Source organism: Homo sapiens, chromosome 6 (genome assembly GCF_000001405.40).
Source record: "Homo sapiens chromosome 6, GRCh38.p14 Primary Assembly".
Taxonomy (NCBI): domain Eukaryota; kingdom Metazoa; phylum Chordata; class Mammalia; order Primates; family Hominidae; genus Homo; species Homo sapiens.
The window spans coordinates 56,596,841-56,617,549 of record NC_000006.12 but is presented as its reverse complement, the minus strand read 5'-3'; the positions used below and the strand labels follow the sequence as shown (position 1 = coordinate 56,617,549).

The following is a 20,709-nucleotide window of genomic DNA, read 5'->3' as shown; positions in this document are numbered from 1 at the left end:
TGGTTTGAAATTTTTCTTCTTTTCACTAATCTTGTCTTTGTAATTCAAAGAATTATGTTTGGATTGAGAATGGATAAAGTGACATAATGTTCTTGAGGTGACTTTTAACATTTTATAAATTCCTGTTACAGATAGCTAAGAACAAGCAGTATGATATGCATACAGAAGTCACAACATTAAAACAAGAAAAGAACCCAGTTCCCAGTGCTGAAGAATGGATGCTTGAAGGGTGCAGAGCATCTGGTGGACTCAAGAAAGGGGATTTCCTTAAGAAGGGCTTAGAACCAGAGACCTTCCAGAACTTTGATGGTGATCATGCATGTTCAGTCAGGGATGATGAATTTAAATTCCAAGGGCTTAGGCACACTGTGACTGCCAGGCAGTTGGTGGAAGCTAAGCTTCTGGACATGAGAACAATTGAGCAGCTGCGACTCGGTCTTAAGACTGTTGAAGAAGTTCAGAAAACTCTTAACAAGTTTCTGACGAAAGCCACCTCAATTGCAGGGCTTTACCTAGAATCTACAAAAGAAAAGATTTCATTTGCCTCAGCGGCCGAGAGAATCATAATAGACAAAATGGTGGCTTTGGCATTTTTAGAAGCTCAGGCTGCAACAGGTTTTATAATTGATCCCATTTCAGGTCAGACATATTCTGTTGAAGATGCAGTTCTTAAAGGAGTTGTTGACCCCGAATTCAGAATTAGGCTTCTTGAGGCAGAGAAGGCAGCTGTGGGATATTCTTATTCTTCTAAGACATTGTCAGTGTTTCAAGCTATGGAAAATAGAATGCTTGACAGACAAAAAGGTAAACATATCTTGGAAGCCCAGATTGCCAGTGGGGGTGTCATTGACCCTGTGAGAGGCATTCGTGTTCCTCCAGAAATTGCTCTGCAGCAGGGGTTGTTGAATAATGCCATCTTACAGTTTTTACATGAGCCATCCAGCAACACAAGAGTTTTCCCTAATCCCAATAACAAGCAAGCTCTGTATTACTCAGAATTACTGCGAATGTGTGTATTTGATGTAGAGTCCCAATGCTTTCTGTTTCCATTTGGGGAGAGGAACATTTCCAATCTCAATGTCAAGAAAACACATAGAATTTCTGTAGTAGATACTAAAACAGGATCAGAATTGACCGTGTATGAGGCTTTCCAGAGAAACCTGATTGAGAAAAGTATATATCTTGAACTTTCAGGGCAGCAATATCAGTGGAAGGAAGCTATGTTTTTTGAATCCTATGGGCATTCTTCTCATATGCTGACTGATACTAAAACAGGATTACACTTCAATATTAATGAGGCTATAGAGCAGGGAACAATTGACAAAGCCTTGGTCAAAAAGTATCAGGAAGGCCTCATCACACTTACAGAACTTGCTGATTCTTTGCTGAGCCGGTTAGTCCCCAAGAAAGATTTGCACAGTCCTGTTGCAGGGTATTGGCTGACTGCTAGTGGGGAAAGGATCTCTGTACTAAAAGCCTCCCGTAGAAATTTGGTTGATCGGATTACTGCCCTCCGATGCCTTGAAGCCCAAGTCAGTACAGGGGGCATAATTGATCCTCTTACTGGCAAAAAGTACCGGGTGGCCGAAGCTTTGCATAGAGGCCTGGTTGATGAGGGGTTTGCCCAGCAGCTGCGACAGTGTGAATTAGTAATCACAGGGATTGGCCATCCCATCACTAACAAAATGATGTCAGTGGTGGAAGCTGTGAATGCAAATATTATAAATAAGGAAATGGGAATCCGATGTTTGGAATTTCAGTACTTGACAGGAGGGTTGATAGAGCCACAGGTTCACTCTCGGTTATCAATAGAAGAGGCTCTCCAAGTAGGTATTATAGATGTCCTCATTGCCACAAAACTCAAAGATCAAAAGTCATATGTCAGAAATATAATATGCCCTCAGACAAAAAGAAAGTTGACATATAAAGAAGCCTTAGAAAAAGCTGATTTTGATTTCCACACAGGACTTAAACTGTTAGAAGTATCTGAGCCCCTGATGACAGGAATTTCTAGCCTCTACTATTCTTCCTAATGGGACATGTTTAAATAACTGTGCAAGGGGTGATGCAGGCTGGTTCATGCCACTTTTTCAGAGTATGATGATATCGGCTACATATGCAGTCTGTGAATTATGTAACATACTCTATTTCTTGAGGGCTGCAAATTGCTAAGTGCTCAAAATAGAGTAAGTTTTAAATTGAAAATTACATAAGATTTAATGCCCTTCAAATGGTTTCATTTAGCCTTGAGAATGGTTTTTTGAAACTTGGCCACACTAAAATGTTTTTTTTTTTACGTAGAATGTGGGATAAACTTGATGAACTCCAAGTTCACAGTGTCATTTCTTCAGAACTCCCCTTCATTGAATAGTGATCATTTATTAAATGATAAATTGCACTCGCTGAAAGAGCACGTCATGAAGCACCATGGAATCAAAGAGAAAGATATAAATTCGTTCCCACAGCCTTCAAGCTGCAGTGTTTTAGATTGCTTCAAAAAATGAAAAAGTTTTGCCTTTTTCTGTATATAGTGACCTTCTTTGCATATTAAAATGTTTACCACAATGTCCCATTTCTAGTTAAGTCTTCGCACTTGAAAGCTAACATTATGAATATTATGTGTTGGAGGAGGGGAAGGATTTTCTTCATTCTGTGTATTTTCCTTACATGTACAGTAGACGTTCTCTATTCTATCAGCCTTCTATGGTACCTTTTTGTCAGGACAATTAGGATTGTAATGCTAATGCAAAGGCAGCAATTCAAAGATCTTCTAGTGCCTCATGAATAAAGTTGAGATTTAAAATTTGTAACATTGATGGAACAGCTGGGAGGTTAGACCAATCATTAAGGAATGTATGCCATAGCTTTCTTTGCTACCATAAACATTTTGGAGGTGCATCTGCTATGTGACATGGTAAATATGGTTAAGTGAATGAATAAAATGTTTTAGTAACCTGTGTGTGATGAAAAAAAATTTTTACATTCTTGTTTGCTATGGAGAGGTCAGTTTAATAGCTAAGTCATTTAATGCAGTGTATATTTTTCTTACCGCTCACAACTGTCAGAAGTCACTGGAAGAAGAAAAGAAAGAACATGTTGAAAAAGCCAAAGAATTGCAAAAATGGGTATCAAATATCAGCAAGACATTGAAAGATGCAGAGAAGGCTGGAAAACCTCCCTTCTCTAAGCAAAAGGTATTCACAGAAGTCCTGGTTTAATAATAATAATAATAGCAGGGACGTTAACTGAGTTGACACAGTTTACCTAGCACAATGTTTAATTTTTACCTTAATTTTCCCATTGTTATAGCCCAATATAATGCAAATCAGAAAGATTAAATAACTTGCCCAAAGAATCAAAGTTAGTGTGTGGCAGAAGAAGCTGTTTAATTCCAAAGCCTGAACGTTATATATTGTTCTTATTTTTAGTAAACGAATACAGTATGCTGCTTTTCCTAATAATTAGGTCTGCTTCCTGATTATTACAATAAGAATAGCTGAAGAGCAGAGTCATTCTGTTTTATGTCTAGAGTAGATCCATGCACTCCATGTCATAAAGATATGCCGTCTTATTCTTACAGATGTAAACATAAAAAGTTTCAAGAACAATGAAGATACAAACCAGGATATTAACATTCTTGATTATTGACTTTAGTTGTGCTTTTCTGGGTCTTTTCTATCTCATAAGGAAGTGTCTACAGTCAATCACTGGAAATTCTAGATACTATCCCTTATCCTAGTGAATTCTTTAGTCTTAACGGGCTATCTTCTGTATCCCAACTGCTTAGGATTAGTTGGATGGCCGCAGCTTGGGAGATGTCCTTGGACTGCACCACTTAAAGCTCTTAGGATGTTGGTAGTTGGGGTGTACATTTTAGTATTGCTGCCGCTGGTGATAGCAGTGGGATTGCTGCTGTATTAAAAAAATAAATTTCCGCTAAGATAAGAAGCGTTTTTCTCAAGGAATACTTTCCTACACTGCCCTCCTGCTCTTGTCTGACGTTTAGAAATTTCAAGGCTATCATCCAATCTTAATGTTTAGCTCCCACTTCTAGCTCTGCATCAGTACTCACTTGTCATCTATTAAAATAGACATTGTTGACATGACTAAATAGGGGAGAACACCAGTGCCTTGTCTTACTTGGCTGTGATATGAGGCAAGTGTTCCTTATTTGAGGTTCTTTCTTGGAGAAGTTTACAGACCAGAGTATATACTTGAAAAGTTGTTCAGTTGAAGTGAAGTATTCAGTCATAGTCTTACATACTATATATGTGGGATGTGGGAGATGTGGGAAAGCACTTGCATTTGGTGCTTTATACCAAAAAGCTTCAAGTAATTTTAATATATATATTTCATGTAAAATATCCTTCTCCCCCCTCATTAAATAGGAAGACAACTAAAATGGGGACATAAAGCTTAACAAAGATTCCTTGGGAGAGTTAGTTTCTTTTGAGAAATTTTGATTATAAACCCTTGGTATTTTTATATTCTGTAGTTTCATGTGTATATATATATATTTTTGAGACAGGGTCTTGCTCTGTCACCCAGGTTGGAGTGCAGTGGCATGATCACAGCTCACTGGAGCCGCAACCTCCCAAGCTCAAGTGATCCTCCTGCCTCAGCCTCCTGAGTAGCTGGACTGCAGACACATGCCACCACACCTGGCTAATTAAAAAAAATTTTTTTGTAGACATTCTTTAGTTTTAAATTCTCTAAAACATTACTAAGTCAGATTTAGACCTAGTACCCTAGATACATTCTTAATGCAGATAATGGCGTTAATTATAACTGTCTAAGAACAGCTGATGGTCGTTCTGTTAAAGGAAATTTTAGTTAATATAAGTATGTCCTTCAAAAATCAATGCAGCCTCATGATTATAGTCATGAAAAATAAACTTTAAATTGACTCTAAATAGACTTCATGGGGGAAAATATATCTTTTCATTGGCCCATTATTTCCTCTTATTTCTGCTAATTTAAAAGAATGGCAATTAATTTCTGAAATAAGGGATTTGGAAATGATACACTGAGGAATTAGGAGAAAGTGTGTGACCTCTTGCTTTTCCCCAAACAGATCAATTTTATTTCTCTGACAGATGACAGTCACAGATGACTTTTACAAAGTGGGTCTTAGCATTAGAAATTATTTGTTCTTTTTTTCAATAGTTAAAAAGTTTCTTTTAGATAGGATCTTACTCTGTCGCCCATGTGGGAGTGCAGTGGCACGACCTCAGCTCACTGTAACCTCCCTTTCCCACACTCAAGCAATTCTGTCTCAGCCTCCCGAGTAGCTTGGACTACAGGCATGAGCCACCAATACTTGGATACTTTTTGTATTTTTCATAGAGACAATATTTCACCATGTTGCTCAGGCTGGTCTCAAACGCCTGAGCTCAAAACAATCTGCCTGCTTTGGCCTCCCAAAGTGCTGGGATTACAGGCATGAGCCACTGCTCTCAGCTAGAAATTCTTTATTCTGGGTCTGCATACCTACAGATTATTACTTTCACCATAATTTTTTCAAAAGGAACATTGTGTCTAGGAGCTTGGCAGAAGGAAGATGCCCTTTGGAAGTAGTGTCCCACAGTCATGTGTCTTTTTGAGGACTGCAGTGCGCAAGGATGACACTGGGCCAGTGCTGAGTGCCCACCTGCGGGTGGAGGCCACCTTTATCCACGGCTGGACTAGGACAGATGCAGGAAACGTATAATGTATTATTTTCTCTTGAAAATGACGGCATTAAGGATAGAGAGAGGAGCTTTCCTTACGGATTCTAAATAAAATACTCTTATCTAGCTCTATAGACTGCTAATAACTGATAGGTTATTCACTTGGGTCACCCAGAAAATAGACTTGGGTCTTGACTAAAGCTTGATTAATTTCTTTTTTTTAAAAAAAATACTGTTTACTCCTTTTGGAGGAAGAGTTTGAATGTGCCTTCTTTACCTTACAGATTTCCAGTGAGGAAATATCAACCAAGAAGGAACAATTATCGGAAGCACTTCAAACTATACAGCTTTTTTTGGCAAAACATGGAGACAAGTATGTTGGTTGTAGTTAGCTCTTTTATTTTAAGTGGGGAAGTATTCTTAAAAGCTTTCAGCAAAACAGAGGTGGTAAATTTTAATTGCAATGTTAAATATGGGACTCAAACTAATCACAATTAATATAGTAATGTAAAGAGTATCAACTTAGTAATTTAATTGTCAATTTTAGTCTTTATTACAACTTTGAAATATTCTTATTATCCCCATGTATTACCGATAAGGAAACAGGCTCAGAGAGGTAAGAATTAATAGCAAGTGAGAGGTAGAGTGCAGACTCCGAGTCAAGTCTTAAATCTAAGTAGTACTCTGTGAGACTTATTCTTTGGAAAATATGTATAAATATGGTCTTCATTTTCTTAGCTGAGACCTATGGCAGCCTCGTTTCTCATATTTTGTCCCTACTTTTTGCAGCAAAGCACTTTATATATTTCAGTCAGTGTTTCACTCAGGGAAGGAATCCACCTTTTTCTTAAATTCTTTTTGGATGTCCTCCTAGGATTATTTCATAATGACTTTATAGTATACCTTAGCAAATTAGGTTAATCCCCTTATAAATTTCCTCTTTGTTTGTGCTTTAGTCTAAACAAGTTTCATCTTGAGAAATGGTACCTTATTGTCCCTTTTCCATGTTGGGATTAACAATGAGACCTTACCCTCTGTCAGATAGCAGCAATTGTTATTTTGGAATTTTGTATGTTAAATAAGGGTCAATACATTAGTTTACACCCTTTCCTTCAGTCCTTTTCTCAGGCAAGGGAAAGATCCTTAGATATTTTAAGGCCATTCTTAATTTTCATATACAGTCATACTGAGACCTGAGCAATATGTATGTGAGGCTATATTTTATTTTACCATCATATGACAAAATTATTGAACCTAATACATCTTTATCTCTTGAGGACGACTTGCATTAGTCTTTTTATCATTTCTGGTTATTTAGAATGACAGATGAAGAAAGAAATGAATTGGAAAAACAAGTGAAAACTCTTCAGGAAAGTTATAATTTATTATTCAGTGAATCTCTGAAACAGCTACAAGAATCACAAACCTCAGGAGATGTAAAGGTAGAGGAGAAGGTAATATTATTTATTTAAACATGAGGCTGTTTCAAGAAGCTTAGTTTGATTGCATGGCTCTGGAAATCTATGTCAATAATAAAGAAATGACCTTGAATTTTGTACGTAGTTAAAATAGGGATTGAGTTTATTTAAATGTTTGGAGATTCCAGTGTTGTTTATTAAATGCAATCTTACACATGCTGACCATCAGTTTCTGTGACATCTTAATCTCTGCCTTGCATGGTAAAAGAAAAGTATCATTCATTCTTCTAACTCTTCTCTTTAAAAGCCATTCTTCTAGTATAGTAGGTATTTTATTATATTATAGGCTATAAAAGAGCCTGTGGGTCATCTCTAAAGGTGGCATTGATGTGTTAGAGATTGTTTGACTTTCAGAGATATCCATGAGACTTATTTGAGTAATACAAGGCCATACATTATAGTGAGGATGCCCTAGCATCTTCTTAAAGTATAAATCATTTAAAATTTGGCTGGTACTTAAACTTTTAAAACTTGACAGTGTATATCAACAGGCCTAACATAATATTCAATATTCAAAAAGTTATCTTTATATTTAATTCCTTACTCCTGGGAATACTTTCCACATAATTTGTCACATTTTGGGGGTATGTAACAATTTTTCCAGTTTCTTAGTTTTTGACTATCTTTGAAGAAGTCTGTATGCTGTAAACATCAATAGCATGGGGTTTGATACTCTCTTTCCTGCCACTAGACTCTAATCTCACCTAAATGCAGAAAGCATGGTTTGCCTTCTAGATATGTGTTCTGTTTTCTCACTATCATCATCTACTCTGTTGTGTCCTCACTAACCTTGTCAATATACACGATATCAAGTTTTCAATTCACAGATGCATGTTGTTTTCAAAGCTTTTATCACATCCTGTGCTGTTGAATAGATCACTGACATAGATCACTTGTGCATTTGAACTGCCTAACATTCACAGCATTGCTGCGCCTTGGTAAGTAGAGGATTTTTATGTTGAAATGTATTATTTATTTTTTAAAAAACCTAAGTTGCATGAAACTCCGCCCACCCTTGTGTAACAGAGTGACCTGAGATTTTTGCATTTTCCTTTCAGCTGGATAAAGTGATTGCAGGCACCATTGATCAGACAACTGGAGAAGTCCTTTCAGTCTTTCAAGCAGTTTTAAGAGGCCTCATTGACTATGACACAGGAATTAGGTTGCTTGAGACACAGCTAATGATTTCTGGTCTAATTTCACCAGAATTAAGAAAGTGCTTTGACCTTAAAGATGCCAAAAGTCATGGCCTTATTGATGAACAAATTCTGTGCCAACTCAAAGAACTAAGTAAAGCTAAGGAGATTATTTCTGCTGCGTCACCTACCACAATTCCAGTACTGGATGCTCTAGCTCAAAGCATGATAACAGAATCCATGGCCATCAAAGTTCTTGAGATACTGCTTTCTACAGGCTCTCTGGTTATTCCAGCCACAGGAGAACAGTTGACCCTACAGAAGGCTTTCCAACAGAACTTGGTTTCCTCAGCATTATTTTCTAAAGTTCTGGAAAGGCAAAATATGTGCAAAGATCTTATTGACCCCTGCACCTCTGAGAAGGTTTCTTTAATAGATATGGTACAAAGAAGTACTTTACAGGAAAACACAGGGATGTGGCTTCTACCTGTGAGACCACAAGAAGGAGGTAGAATAACATTAAAATGTGGAAGAAACATAAGCATTTTAAGAGCAGCTCATGAAGGTCTCATAGACCGTGAAACCATGTTTAGGTTGTTAAGTGCACAGCTTCTTTCTGGAGGTCTGATCAATTCCAACTCTGGCCAAAGAATGACTGTTGAAGAAGCTGTCAGAGAAGGGGTGATTGACAGGGACACTGCTAGCAGTATCCTCACATATCAGGTTCAAACTGGTGGAATCATCCAGTCAAACCCTGCCAAGCGTTTAACTGTAGACGAAGCAGTACAGTGTGATTTAATAACTTCCAGCAGTGCTCTTCTGGTCCTGGAAGCTCAGCGAGGCTATGTTGGACTCATTTGGCCCCATTCTGGTGAAATATTTCCCACATCATCTTCCTTGCAGCAAGAATTGATTACAAATGAATTGGCCTACAAAATCCTGAATGGCAGACAAAAAATAGCTGCTCTTTATATTCCAGAAAGTTCTCAAGTCATTGGTTTGGATGCTGCTAAACAGCTAGGAATTATAGACAACAACACAGCATCAATTTTAAAAAATATAACACTGCCTGATAAAATGCCAGATTTAGGAGATTTAGAAGCTTGTAAAAATGCCAGAAGATGGCTCTCTTTTTGTAAATTTCAACCCTCCACAGTTCATGATTACAGACAAGAAGAGGATGTTTTTGATGGAGAAGAACCTGTCACTACTCAGACCTCAGAAGAAACTAAAAAATTATTTCTATCTTATTTAATGATAAATAGCTATATGGATGCAAACACAGGGCAAAGGCTTTTGCTGTACGATGGAGACTTGGATGAGGCTGTTGGCATGCTACTGGAAGGCTGTCATGCAGAATTTGATGGAAACACAGCCATAAAAGAATGTCTCGATGTCTTAAGCTCATCTGGTGTATTTCTTAATAATGCTTCAGGTAGAGAAAAGGATGAATGTACAGCTACACCAAGTAGTTTCAATAAATGTCACTGTGGAGAACCTGAACATGAAGAGACTCCTGAAAATAGAAAGTGTGCTATAGATGAAGAATTTAATGAAATGAGAAATACTGTTATCAATAGTGAATTTTCTCAGTCAGGAAAACTGGCAAGTACAATATCAATTGATCCTAAAGTTAACAGTTCACCCAGTGTGTGTGTTCCCAGTCTCATATCATATTTAACACAGACTGAACTTGCAGACATTAGCATGCTTAGAAGTGACTCTGAAAACATACTTACAAACTATGAAAATCAAAGCCGAGTGGAAACAAATGAACGTGCAAATGAATGTAGTCATTCTAAAAACATTCAAAACTTTCCAAGTGATTTAATAGAAAATCCTATTATGAAATCAAAAATGAGTAAATTCTGTGGTGTGAATGAAACAGAGAATGAAGATAATACAAACAGGGATTCACCTATCTTTGACTATTCCCCCAGGCTAAGTGCCTTGTTAAGTCATGATAAATTGATGCACAGTCAGGGAAGTTTTAATGATACACACACCCCAGAGAGCAATGGAAATAAGTGTGAAGCCCCAGCCTTATCATTCAGTGACAAAACCATGTTGTCAGGTCAAAGAATAGGAGAAAAATTTCAAGACCAGTTTCTGGGAATTGCAGCTATTAACATCAGTTTACCAGGAGAGCAGTATGGACAGAAATCTTTAAATATGATTTCTAGTAATCCTCAAGTACAATATCACAATGATAAATACATTTCAAATACTTCTGGTGAGGATGAAAAAACACATCCAGGTTTTCAGCAGATGCCTGAAGACAAGGAAGATGAGTCTGAAATAGAAGAGTATTCCTGTGCTGTGACTCCAGGGGGTGATACTGATAATGCCATTGTGTCTCTTACTTGTGCTACACCATTGCTTGATGAAACCATCAGTGCTAGTGACTATGAAACGTCACTGCTGAATGATCAGCAGAATAACACAGGAACAGACACTGATAGTGATGATGATTTTTATGATACTCCCTTGTTTGAAGATGATGACCATGATTCTTTGCTTCTTGATGGTGATGATCGTGATTGCCTGCACCCTGAGGACTACGACACACTGCAAGAGGAAAATGATGAGACGGCTTCTCCTGCTGATGTTTTTTATGATGTCTCAAAAGAGAATGAAAATTCCATGGTTCCCCAGGGGGCACCAGTTGGTAGCTTAAGTGTGAAGAACAAAGCACATTGTCTTCAGGATTTCCTTATGGATGTTGAGAAAGATGAATTAGATTCTGGTGAAAAAATACATTTAAATCCTGTTGGCTCAGATAAGGTGAATGGACAGTCACTGGAAACTGGATCAGAAAGGGAATGCACAAATATCCTTGAAGGTGATGAATCTGACTCATTGACTGATTATGATATTGTAGGAGGAAAAGAGAGCTTCACTGCATCATTAAAATTTGATGACAGTGGCAGTTGGAGAGGAAGAAAGGAAGAGTATGTAACTGGACAGGAATTTCACTCCGATACTGATCATTTAGATTCTATGCAAAGTGAAGAAAGTTATGGGGATTATATATATGACAGTAATGATCAGGATGACGATGATGATGATGGCATTGATGAAGAAGGAGGAGGTATAAGAGATGAGAATGGAAAGCCCAGGTGCCAAAATGTGGCTGAAGATATGGATATCCAGTTGTGTGCCTCTATTTTAAATGAAAACAGTGATGAAAATGAAAATATTAATACAATGATTCTTCTGGATAAAATGCACAGTTGTAGCTCTTTAGAAAAACAGCAAAGGGTAAATGTTGTACAGCTAGCATCACCTAGTGAAAATAACTTAGTTACTGAAAAAAGCAACCTTCCAGAATATACAACTGAGATTGCTGGAAAAAGCAAAGAAAATCTGTTGAACCATGAGATGGTACTTAAGGATGTATTGCCGCCTATCATTAAAGACACTGAATCTGAAAAAACTTTTGGCCCTGCAAGTATTTCACATGATAATAATAATATCAGTTCAACTTCTGAATTAGGTACTGATCTAGCAAACACAAAGGTTAAGTTGATTCAAGGGTCAGAATTGCCAGAATTGACTGATTCTGTGAAAGGTAAAGATGAATATTTTAAGAATATGACACCAAAAGTTGACTCATCTCTTGATCACATCATTTGTACTGAGCCTGATTTAATAGGAAAACCTGCTGAGGAAAGCCATTTGTCATTGATAGCCTCTGTAACTGACAAAGATCCTCAAGGAAATGGAAGCGATCTCATTAAAGGGAGAGATGGCAAAAGTGATATTCTAATAGAAGATGAAACATCAATTCAGAAAATGTACTTGGGTGAAGGAGAAGTGCTTGTAGAAGGTCTAGTAGAAGAAGAAAATAGGCATCTCAAACTTTTGCCTGGTAAAAATACAAGGGATAGTTTCAAGTTAATTAATAGTCAGTTTCCATTTCCACAAATCACAAACAATGAAGAACTTAATCAGAAAGGAAGCCTTAAAAAAGCAACTGTAACTCTTAAAGATGAACCAAATAATCTACAAATAATAGTTAGTAAAAGTCCTGTTCAGTTTGAGAATCTTGAAGAAATTTTTGACACATCAGTTTCCAAAGAGATTAGTGATGACATTACTTCAGACATTACATCGTGGGAAGGGAATACACATTTTGAGGAGTCATTCACTGATGGACCTGAGAAAGAGCTTGATCTGTTTACTTACTTAAAACATTGTGCTAAAAATATAAAAGCAAAAGATGTAGCCAAACCAAATGAAGATGTCCCAAGCCATGTTTTAATAACTGCCCCTCCCATGAAAGAACATTTACAATTAGGAGTTAATAATACAAAAGAGAAGTCCACTAGTACCCAAAAAGACTCACCTCTTAATGACATGATCCAAAGCAATGATCTTTGTAGTAAAGAAAGCATCTCAGGAGGAGGAACAGAAATTTCTCAGTTCACACCAGAAAGTATTGAAGCCACACTTTCAATATTATCTCGTAAACATGTAGAAGATGTTGGGAAAAATGATTTTCTGCAGTCGGAGCGGTGTGCAAATGGATTAGGAAATGATAACTCCAGTAACACTTTAAATACTGACTATTCATTCTTAGAAATTAATAATAAGAAAGAAAGAATTGAGCAACAGCTACCAAAAGAACAAGCCTTGTCTCCAAGATCCCAAGAAAAGGAGGTTCAGATTCCTGAATTGTCTCAGGTATTTGTGGAGGATGTAAAGGATATCTTAAAAAGCAGGTTGAAAGAAGGTCATATGAACCCTCAAGAGGTTGAAGAACCTTCAGCCTGTGCAGACACTAAAATTTTAATTCAAAATTTAATTAAAAGGATTACCACATCACAGTTGGTAAATGAGGCATCTACTGTGCCCAGCGACTCTCAAATGAGTGACTCTTCTGGAGTTTCCCCCATGACTAACTCATCAGAACTAAAGCCAGAAAGTAGAGATGATCCTTTCTGTATTGGAAATCTTAAGTCTGAGCTTCTCCTTAATATATTGAAGCAAGATCAACATAGCCAAAAAATTACAGGAGTATTTGAATTGATGAGAGAATTAACTCATATGGAGTATGACCTAGAGAAAAGAGGCATTACGTCTAAAGTACTTCCACTGCAGCTTGAAAATATTTTCTACAAACTGCTTGCTGATGGATATTCAGAGAAAATAGAACATGTTGGAGACTTTAATCAAAAAGCATGTTCTACATCTGAGATGATGGAAGAAAAGCCACATATTCTTGGTGATATTAAAAGCAAAGAAGGAAACTACTATTCTCCTAATTTAGAAACTGTAAAAGAAATTGGACTAGAAAGCTCTACTGTGTGGGCATCAACATTGCCAAGAGATGAGAAGCTCAAGGATCTGTGTAATGATTTCCCAAGCCATTTGGAATGTACTTCAGGGTCTAAAGAGATGGCTTCTGGAGATAGCTCAACCGAACAAGTAAGTTGACCTATACATTTTATACAGAAAAAGCTGCATGAACCATGTGAGAATAATCCCATACATTTGCTTTAAACATCTGCATAAAGGTTATTGAATTAAAATGTCCAACTTTGTTTTTAGTTTTCCAGTGAATTACAGCAGTGTTTACAGCACACTGAAAAAATGCATGAGTATTTGACATTGCTTCAAGATATGAAACCCCCCTTAGACAACCAGGAATCTCTGGATAACAACTTGGAAGCTTTGAAGAATCAACTTAGACAGTTGGAGGTAAGAATTGTCTACTGCCTCTTTATGGATGGTAGTCAGCTGATGTATGACTGGGAAAAAGAAGCAGAACACTTCTATGTTTCATGTTTATATTTGGGTTTTTCACTAAATAGTAAATAGGTCCGGGATATATTTCTTTGCAGACATTTGAATTGGGATTAGCTCCAATTGCTGTTATTTTAAGAAAAGATATGAAGTTGGCAGAAGAGTTTTTAAAGTCTCTTCCCAGTGACTTTCCCAGAGGCCATGTTGAAGAATTGAGTATTAGCCACCAGAGTTTGAAGACCGCCTTCTCTTCCCTCAGCAACGTGTCTTCAGAAAGAACGAAACAGATCATGCTTGCGATCGACTCTGAAATGGTAGGCATAAAATGTCAAAATTTTGATTTATGAAGAAAATTTTATTATTTGAGGATTTAGTCATAAGCTGGAGTATTTTAGTTTTAGAGTGCTAACTCTTAAACCACAGTCATTATTTGTAAGAATTTGACATTTTGGGGAAAGATAACTGAATGCACAATTTTTTTTTCTAGTCTAAACTAGCAGTTTCCCATGAAGAATTTCTGCATAAACTTAAGTCATTCTCAGATTGGGTATCAGAGAAGAGCAAATCTGTGAAGGATATTGAGATTGTGAATGTTCAAGATTCTGAGTATGTAAAGAAACGTTTGGAGTTTCTCAAGGCAAGTATCAAAACAAAGATGACAAAATATATTTCAAAAACTATGACTTTAATATATAACAAGTGTTTAGAAAATATGACTTTGCTAAGGCTACAAAGGATTATTTCCTTTCTTTGTCTCTAGAGATGTCTTTATTCATAGTTGACACAACTATAAAATAATCACAACTTTAAGGGTATCATTCTGATGCTATCCCAAAAGCCTTATCATACTCTTACACCACTGACATGTTGAGATTTTTATTTATATATTTATTTATGTGTTAGTCACATAAATATATAATAGTATGAATTAGCCATATAAAAATCATCATGTAAATACATAATAATATTTGTAGTACAGTCATGCATCACTTAATGATGGAGTTACATTCTGAGAAATGCATTGTTAGGTGATTTTGTGTTTTGCAAACAACAAGGAGTGTACTTACACAGACCTAGATGGCATCCTTTACTGCACACCTAGGCTATATGATATACCTGTTGCTCCTAGGCTACAAACCTCTACAGCATGTTACTGTACTGACTACTGTAGGCAATTGTGACACAGTGGTTTTTGTGTATCTAAACATAGAAAACGACAGGAAAAATAAGGCATTGTAATCTTATGGGACCAACATTTTATATGTGACCTGTCGTATGTGGCTCATGACTGTGTTTATATGTTGTCACTTTTGGCATACTTTTTTTTTTTTTTTCTAAGTTCTTAATTTCAACAGCATTCCTCATGAACAATGATTAGGCTTCTGGCCTGAGAGTCAGAAAACTGAAATTCTGGCATATTTCATTCATATTTCAAATCCCTCAAAGTATTATTTATATCTTACCACAATTACATGGATGTTGTAAATGTTAGCAAGTCATATTTTAAGGTAGATGTTTCTCTTCAGTGTGCTAAATATACCTAAGTTAGGTCTTTGCCTTTTGTCAGAGTTATATTTTAAGTGCAATGTGACAGGTAAAGATAAAACATTTTTAGAGGGATTATTTGTCTTTTTATATAATACTAACTACCATGGTATTTAAATAATTAATTTATCATTTATTACTAGATGATAAATAGATTTTTGATGAATAGCAAAAAAATTCATAAAACTTCCATTCCCTGATGTGAGAAATGTATTTACAAAACATAAATATTATTGTTAATATAAATTTTATCATGGCTTAACTTTCTACTGATAGCTTGTACTACTTTTTTAACAGAATGTATTAAAAGACCTTGGACATACCAAAATGCAGCTGGAGACTACTGCCTTTGATGTGCAGTTCTTCATTTCTGAATATGCACAGGATCTGTCTCCCAACCAAAGCAAACAACTGCTGAGGCTCTTAAATACAACTCAGAAGTGTTTTCTTGATGTACAGGAGTCAGTAACTACCCAGGTGGAACGTTTAGAGACTCAGTTACATCTAGAACAAGATCTTGATGATCAGAAGGTTTGCCTTTCTTCGTGGAGTTGGCATTCATTGTTTTTAGTGTGAAACCATAATGTAGATACCCAAGGAGTATAGTGTGACAGGAAAGATTTTCTGGAAAGGCATTAATGGATAAGATACAGTGTACATACAAATCCTACAGTGTATAACAATATTGTTTTCACTAATGATGCTATAATTTAGTTGATTTGAATTTTTGTGACTCCCAAAAATACTTAACTTCAAGTGAGAGTCTTGATTGCCTCCCACCCCAAGACTAGGAAATTTGAATGCACTTAGAAATTTAACACATTGAGGAACATATGACTAAAGAAGGTTAAGAGTTTCGTTTTCCTCTGGGAACCAATACAGCACAGCAATTCAGATCATGGGCTCTGGAGCTAGATTGCCTGATTTCACATCCCAGCTGCACTACTCATTCATTCTGTGAACTAGGGCAAGTTACTTAACCTCAGTTTAATCATTGGTAGATTGGAAATAACAATAGCGCTTACCTGCTAGTGTTGTGAGCATTGATAAAAAGAATGTATGTAAAACATTTAGTACCTTGCCTAGCATGTGTTAGGCTCTTAGTAAACGTGATCTATGGCTATAAGATGAATAATTAGTGTATACATAGTAGGAAAATGAAAGGTGCAAGTAATTAGTGTTGACTTCTTAATCTTTTAGAAGATTTAATGAATTATATGAGTGCTATATCTAATAGCAATAACGAGCAAAGAGGTGAGAATGCACTTAGACATAGTGATTAAGTAAAAATATTGCATGCAATGTTCCTTTTATTATTTCTTGAAGCACCAGACATTGTCTCTAGCATGATAACCTATATACACATATCAAATATGTTAACCTACAAATCACAACTAACTTCTCTTTTGATGTCCTTTTGCAGAATTAATTCTATGTGTCGCAGGTTTCAACAGCTTAAGAAAATGGGATGTTTCTTCCTGTTGGTCAGAAGTTCCATCTCTTACAAATATGCATGGCCAGTATTCTCTTGAGCAGTTTCATCTAAACATGATCACTTTCTTTGTATATGGGATATGCTCATATTTTCTGTCTCACCTTGCTCAGTTTGTACCCTACTGCTATCATGTTTACAGCATACTTATAAAAGCTTATTAGACAAAACTTGGAAAATGTGTTCTAATAAGAAGCTATCACAATAGCGATTTTGTGACCACCATACATTTAAGATGTTTTGGGTTTTCTTCACTTTAGATTGTAGCAGAGCGTCAGCAGGAGTATAAAGAGAAACTCCAAGGGATATGTGATCTTCTTACCCAAACTGAAAACCGCCTAATTGGTCACCAAGAAGCCTTCATGATTGGAGATGGCACAGTTGAGTTAAAGAAATATCAGTCCAAGCAAGAGGTAGAATTTGGTTTTCTATCAGCAGATCTATGTTGATGTTATGTTCGATTACTATCATTTGGAAGTCAGTGAAGATTATTGAAAATACCAGTAATTTTAGCTTTTTAGAAGCAAGGCATACCCAAGACGCCCTGGGCTTGAGCTTTAAACTTTATACTAAAAGTTAGATTTCCAACTTCAAGCAAGCTAGGTAATTTTTTTGACTTTTTTTGGTAAGAGATATTGAGTGGAGGAAATATTAAAGGGGATTTGATAATGAAAATACCTTGTGTGATGAATTAGAATTTGGATTCATTTAAGGCCAACCTACTTACTACTTGCAAATCAGAGGAAATAGCCATCACTTTGGGTTCTTTCTCTTTCTTAGCTCCTTCTTACTCCTTCTTTCTTGTGATTTGTTCCTTTTTATTGAAGGAAAGGGCAAAAATAACAGTAACAACAGATAAAGATATCTTTATTTTGGTGTCAGGACAGAGAACATTTTCATTGTAAGTAGATAGCTCCTGGTTCAGATTCCAGACTCTATACATTGTTAGCTTTATAACAGTCTGTCACAGCCTCAGTTTCTTCATAGGTCACACTTTGTTACATTATTATAAAAGTTAAGTAAATATTGTGTAAGTCACTAGCACAGTTAAGGTCACATAGTCATGGCTCAATTAATAGGATTTCTTTCAATTCAAATACTTCTAAGACAAATTTGAAGAAGATTAAAATAAAGTATGGAAAAAATAATATTAAAACTCAGTATCATATAGAGAATGAAAATGCATGATAAAGGAGGAAAAGAAGAGGAAAAACTACATGGAAAAATCTAGACATAGGAAAGCTATAACTACTAAGGAGAGATCTTAATCTTGAGGTACCTAGCAGCTAGGCAAAGAAGCAAACATTACATATTACAGATTCTGGTGTTTAGAAAAGGAAAGTATCTTAGTTCACTGGGAAAATTAGTTCATTTTTATCCTGAGTGATAAACACATTAAAAAATAAAAGTTTAGAAACAATAAATATTAGCATATATTTACAAGCCTTTGTACATGTGCTCATATAATATTAAAAAATCTGGTGTGTGCAAATTTATATAGATCATATACTGAATACTTATGTGTTTTCAGTGTTTCACTGACTGCATTCTTTCGTTAAACATGAAAATTCATGCTTTTCTTTAATATTGTTTGAGTTTCAAATTATATTAAGTATTGTGATTGAAACTCAAATTAACATACTCAATATGTTTATTCAAGCTACATATACTAGACTCTCTCTGTACTCACTCTGTCTTTTAGAATTACAACTCTGGAAGAACTAAATAGGTAATAATTTAATAAAATATATTTTTTCCTTTTGTGTTATAAGGAATTACAGAAAGATATGCAAGGAAGTGCACAGGCATTGGCTGAAGTAGTGAAAAACACAGAGAACTTCTTAAAAGAGAATGGTGAAAAGCTGTCACAGGAAGATAAGGCTTTGATTGAACAGAAACTTAATGAAGCTAAGATAAAGTGTGAACAGCTTAATTTAAAAGCAGAACAGTCTAAAAAGGAGCTGGATAAAGTTGTGACAACAGCAATCAAGGAAGAAACTGAAAAGGTCCTTATTCAAATATGTGGTGCACTATTGCTATGTCAAAAAGCTTAACAGCTACTTGATTTATTATTAATATCCAGTGGTAGTAAATAAGGATTATCACTAAGGATTATTATGGGATTCTGGGTTTCCAGGTACATAATTGACCAAGTACTACAAAAGGTTTGAAGAGTTGGCTTTGCTTAACTTTTTCTTAATATTTAAGTGAGGTTGTGAAACTTTCTTCTTGTGAAATGTGTGATCACTCATCAATTATAGTTAAAATTTTGGAATGTATTTTTAAGAACAGGGGAAACTTCAAAGTAACTGCCTGTTGCTCTGAGGTTTAATTTCAGTTGTTAAGTTTTCAATTGTGTCAGTTTTTAGTACCCTCATTCTAATTTAAAATGTTCTAAGTATTTACTTTTGGAATGTCTTAAAACTATGCCTTGGCCCACGTTCTGAATTCCTCCTGTGAACTTTCCCTTCCCAGGTAGCAGCAGTGAAGCAGCTGGAAGAGAGCAAAACCAAAATAGAAAACCTTTTGGACTGGTTGTCAAATGTTGACAAAGACTCAGAAAGGGCAGGGACAAAACACAAACAGGTAATCGAACAGAACGGGACCCATTTTCAAGAAGGTGATGGCAAGTCAGCAATTGGAGAAGAGGATGAAGTTAATGGTAACCTGTTGGAGACTGATGTTGATGGGCAAGTTGGAACCACTCAGGAGAATCTGAATCAGCAATATCAGAAAGTTAAGGTGTGTTGTTATAAACATATGATATCGTTCAATTCTATTTCCAGGTTGGTAAAGAGAGAAATAACCTAGCACATGAGTTCTTTTCAAACCTTACTGACAAAAGAGGTTTTTTTCTGTGTTCATCATGTCAGATATAAATTATTATGAGAGTTCTAAGCAAGTCAAAAAATAATGAGAAATAAATTGTAGAGTTGGCATTCTCCATGTAAGTGAAGTAGAATTATTATAAAGATTTAATAATAATAGTTAACATTTATAGGACAGTTAAAGTGGGCACTCTTCTAAGTTCTTTCCATTTTAACTCATTTTGTCTTCCCAGTTACTCCTTGGGGTTTTTATTTTCATCTTACAGATGAGGAAACTGTAACTGACAGTATTAAAGTAGCTTTCTCAAGTTACATATCTAGAAAGGGCTGGAATTTGGATTTAAAACTAGGCCATATGTTCACTCTGCTAAGTCTGAATCTGTGTTCTAAGAGAACAATCTTTTTTTTTTTTTTGAGACAAGGTCTCACCCTGTCGCCCAGGTTAGAGTGCAGTGAAACAAGCATGGCTCACTGCAGCCTCAAACTCCCTGGCCCAATTGATCCTCCCACCTCAGCCTCCTGAGTAGCTGGGACTACAGGTCTGTGCTGCCATGCCTGGCTAATTTTTGTATTTTTTGTAGTGATGAGGTCTCTCTATGTTGCCCAGGCTGCTCTCGAAGTCCTGGGCTCAAGCATTCCGCCCACATCCTCCCAAAGTGGTGAGATTACAGGCATGAGCCACTGTGTCCAGGCTAAGTTGAGCTCACTTAAGTTCTTTCTGAGCTCAGCTCACCTATTCAGTTAAGGCTATTGTTGAGAAGAGATATAAAAGCCCTTCTACCAATTTACTCCATGACATAAATTAAAGCTAAC

General features: G+C 36.2%; 1 protein-coding gene across 11 annotated transcripts in view; it reads left to right on the top strand.

The window, feature by feature from the left end:
* DST (dystonin) overlaps positions 1-20,709 on the top strand; it is a 496,835-nt gene that overhangs the window by 337,281 nt on the left and 138,845 nt on the right. For 6 of the 11 annotated variants that reach the window (NM_001144769.5, NM_001144770.2, NM_001374730.1 and 3 more), the window contains 6 exons: positions 3,066-3,194; positions 5,954-6,042; positions 6,988-7,123; positions 17,329-17,481; positions 18,841-19,074; positions 19,544-19,810. In NM_001144769.5, the coding sequence (NP_001138241.1) occupies positions 3,066-3,194; positions 5,954-6,042; positions 6,988-7,123; positions 17,329-17,481; positions 18,841-19,074; positions 19,544-19,810 (1,008 nt within the window). Of the gene's footprint in view, positions 1-131; positions 2,954-3,065; positions 3,195-5,953; positions 6,043-6,987; positions 7,124-8,205; positions 13,714-13,836; positions 13,987-14,129; positions 14,346-14,518; positions 14,669-15,873; positions 16,108-17,328; positions 17,482-18,840; positions 19,075-19,543; positions 19,811-20,709 lie in introns of those variants that run through there. The other 5 variants (NM_001374722.1, NM_001374736.1, NM_001374734.1 and 2 more) reach the window with 2 other exon arrangements.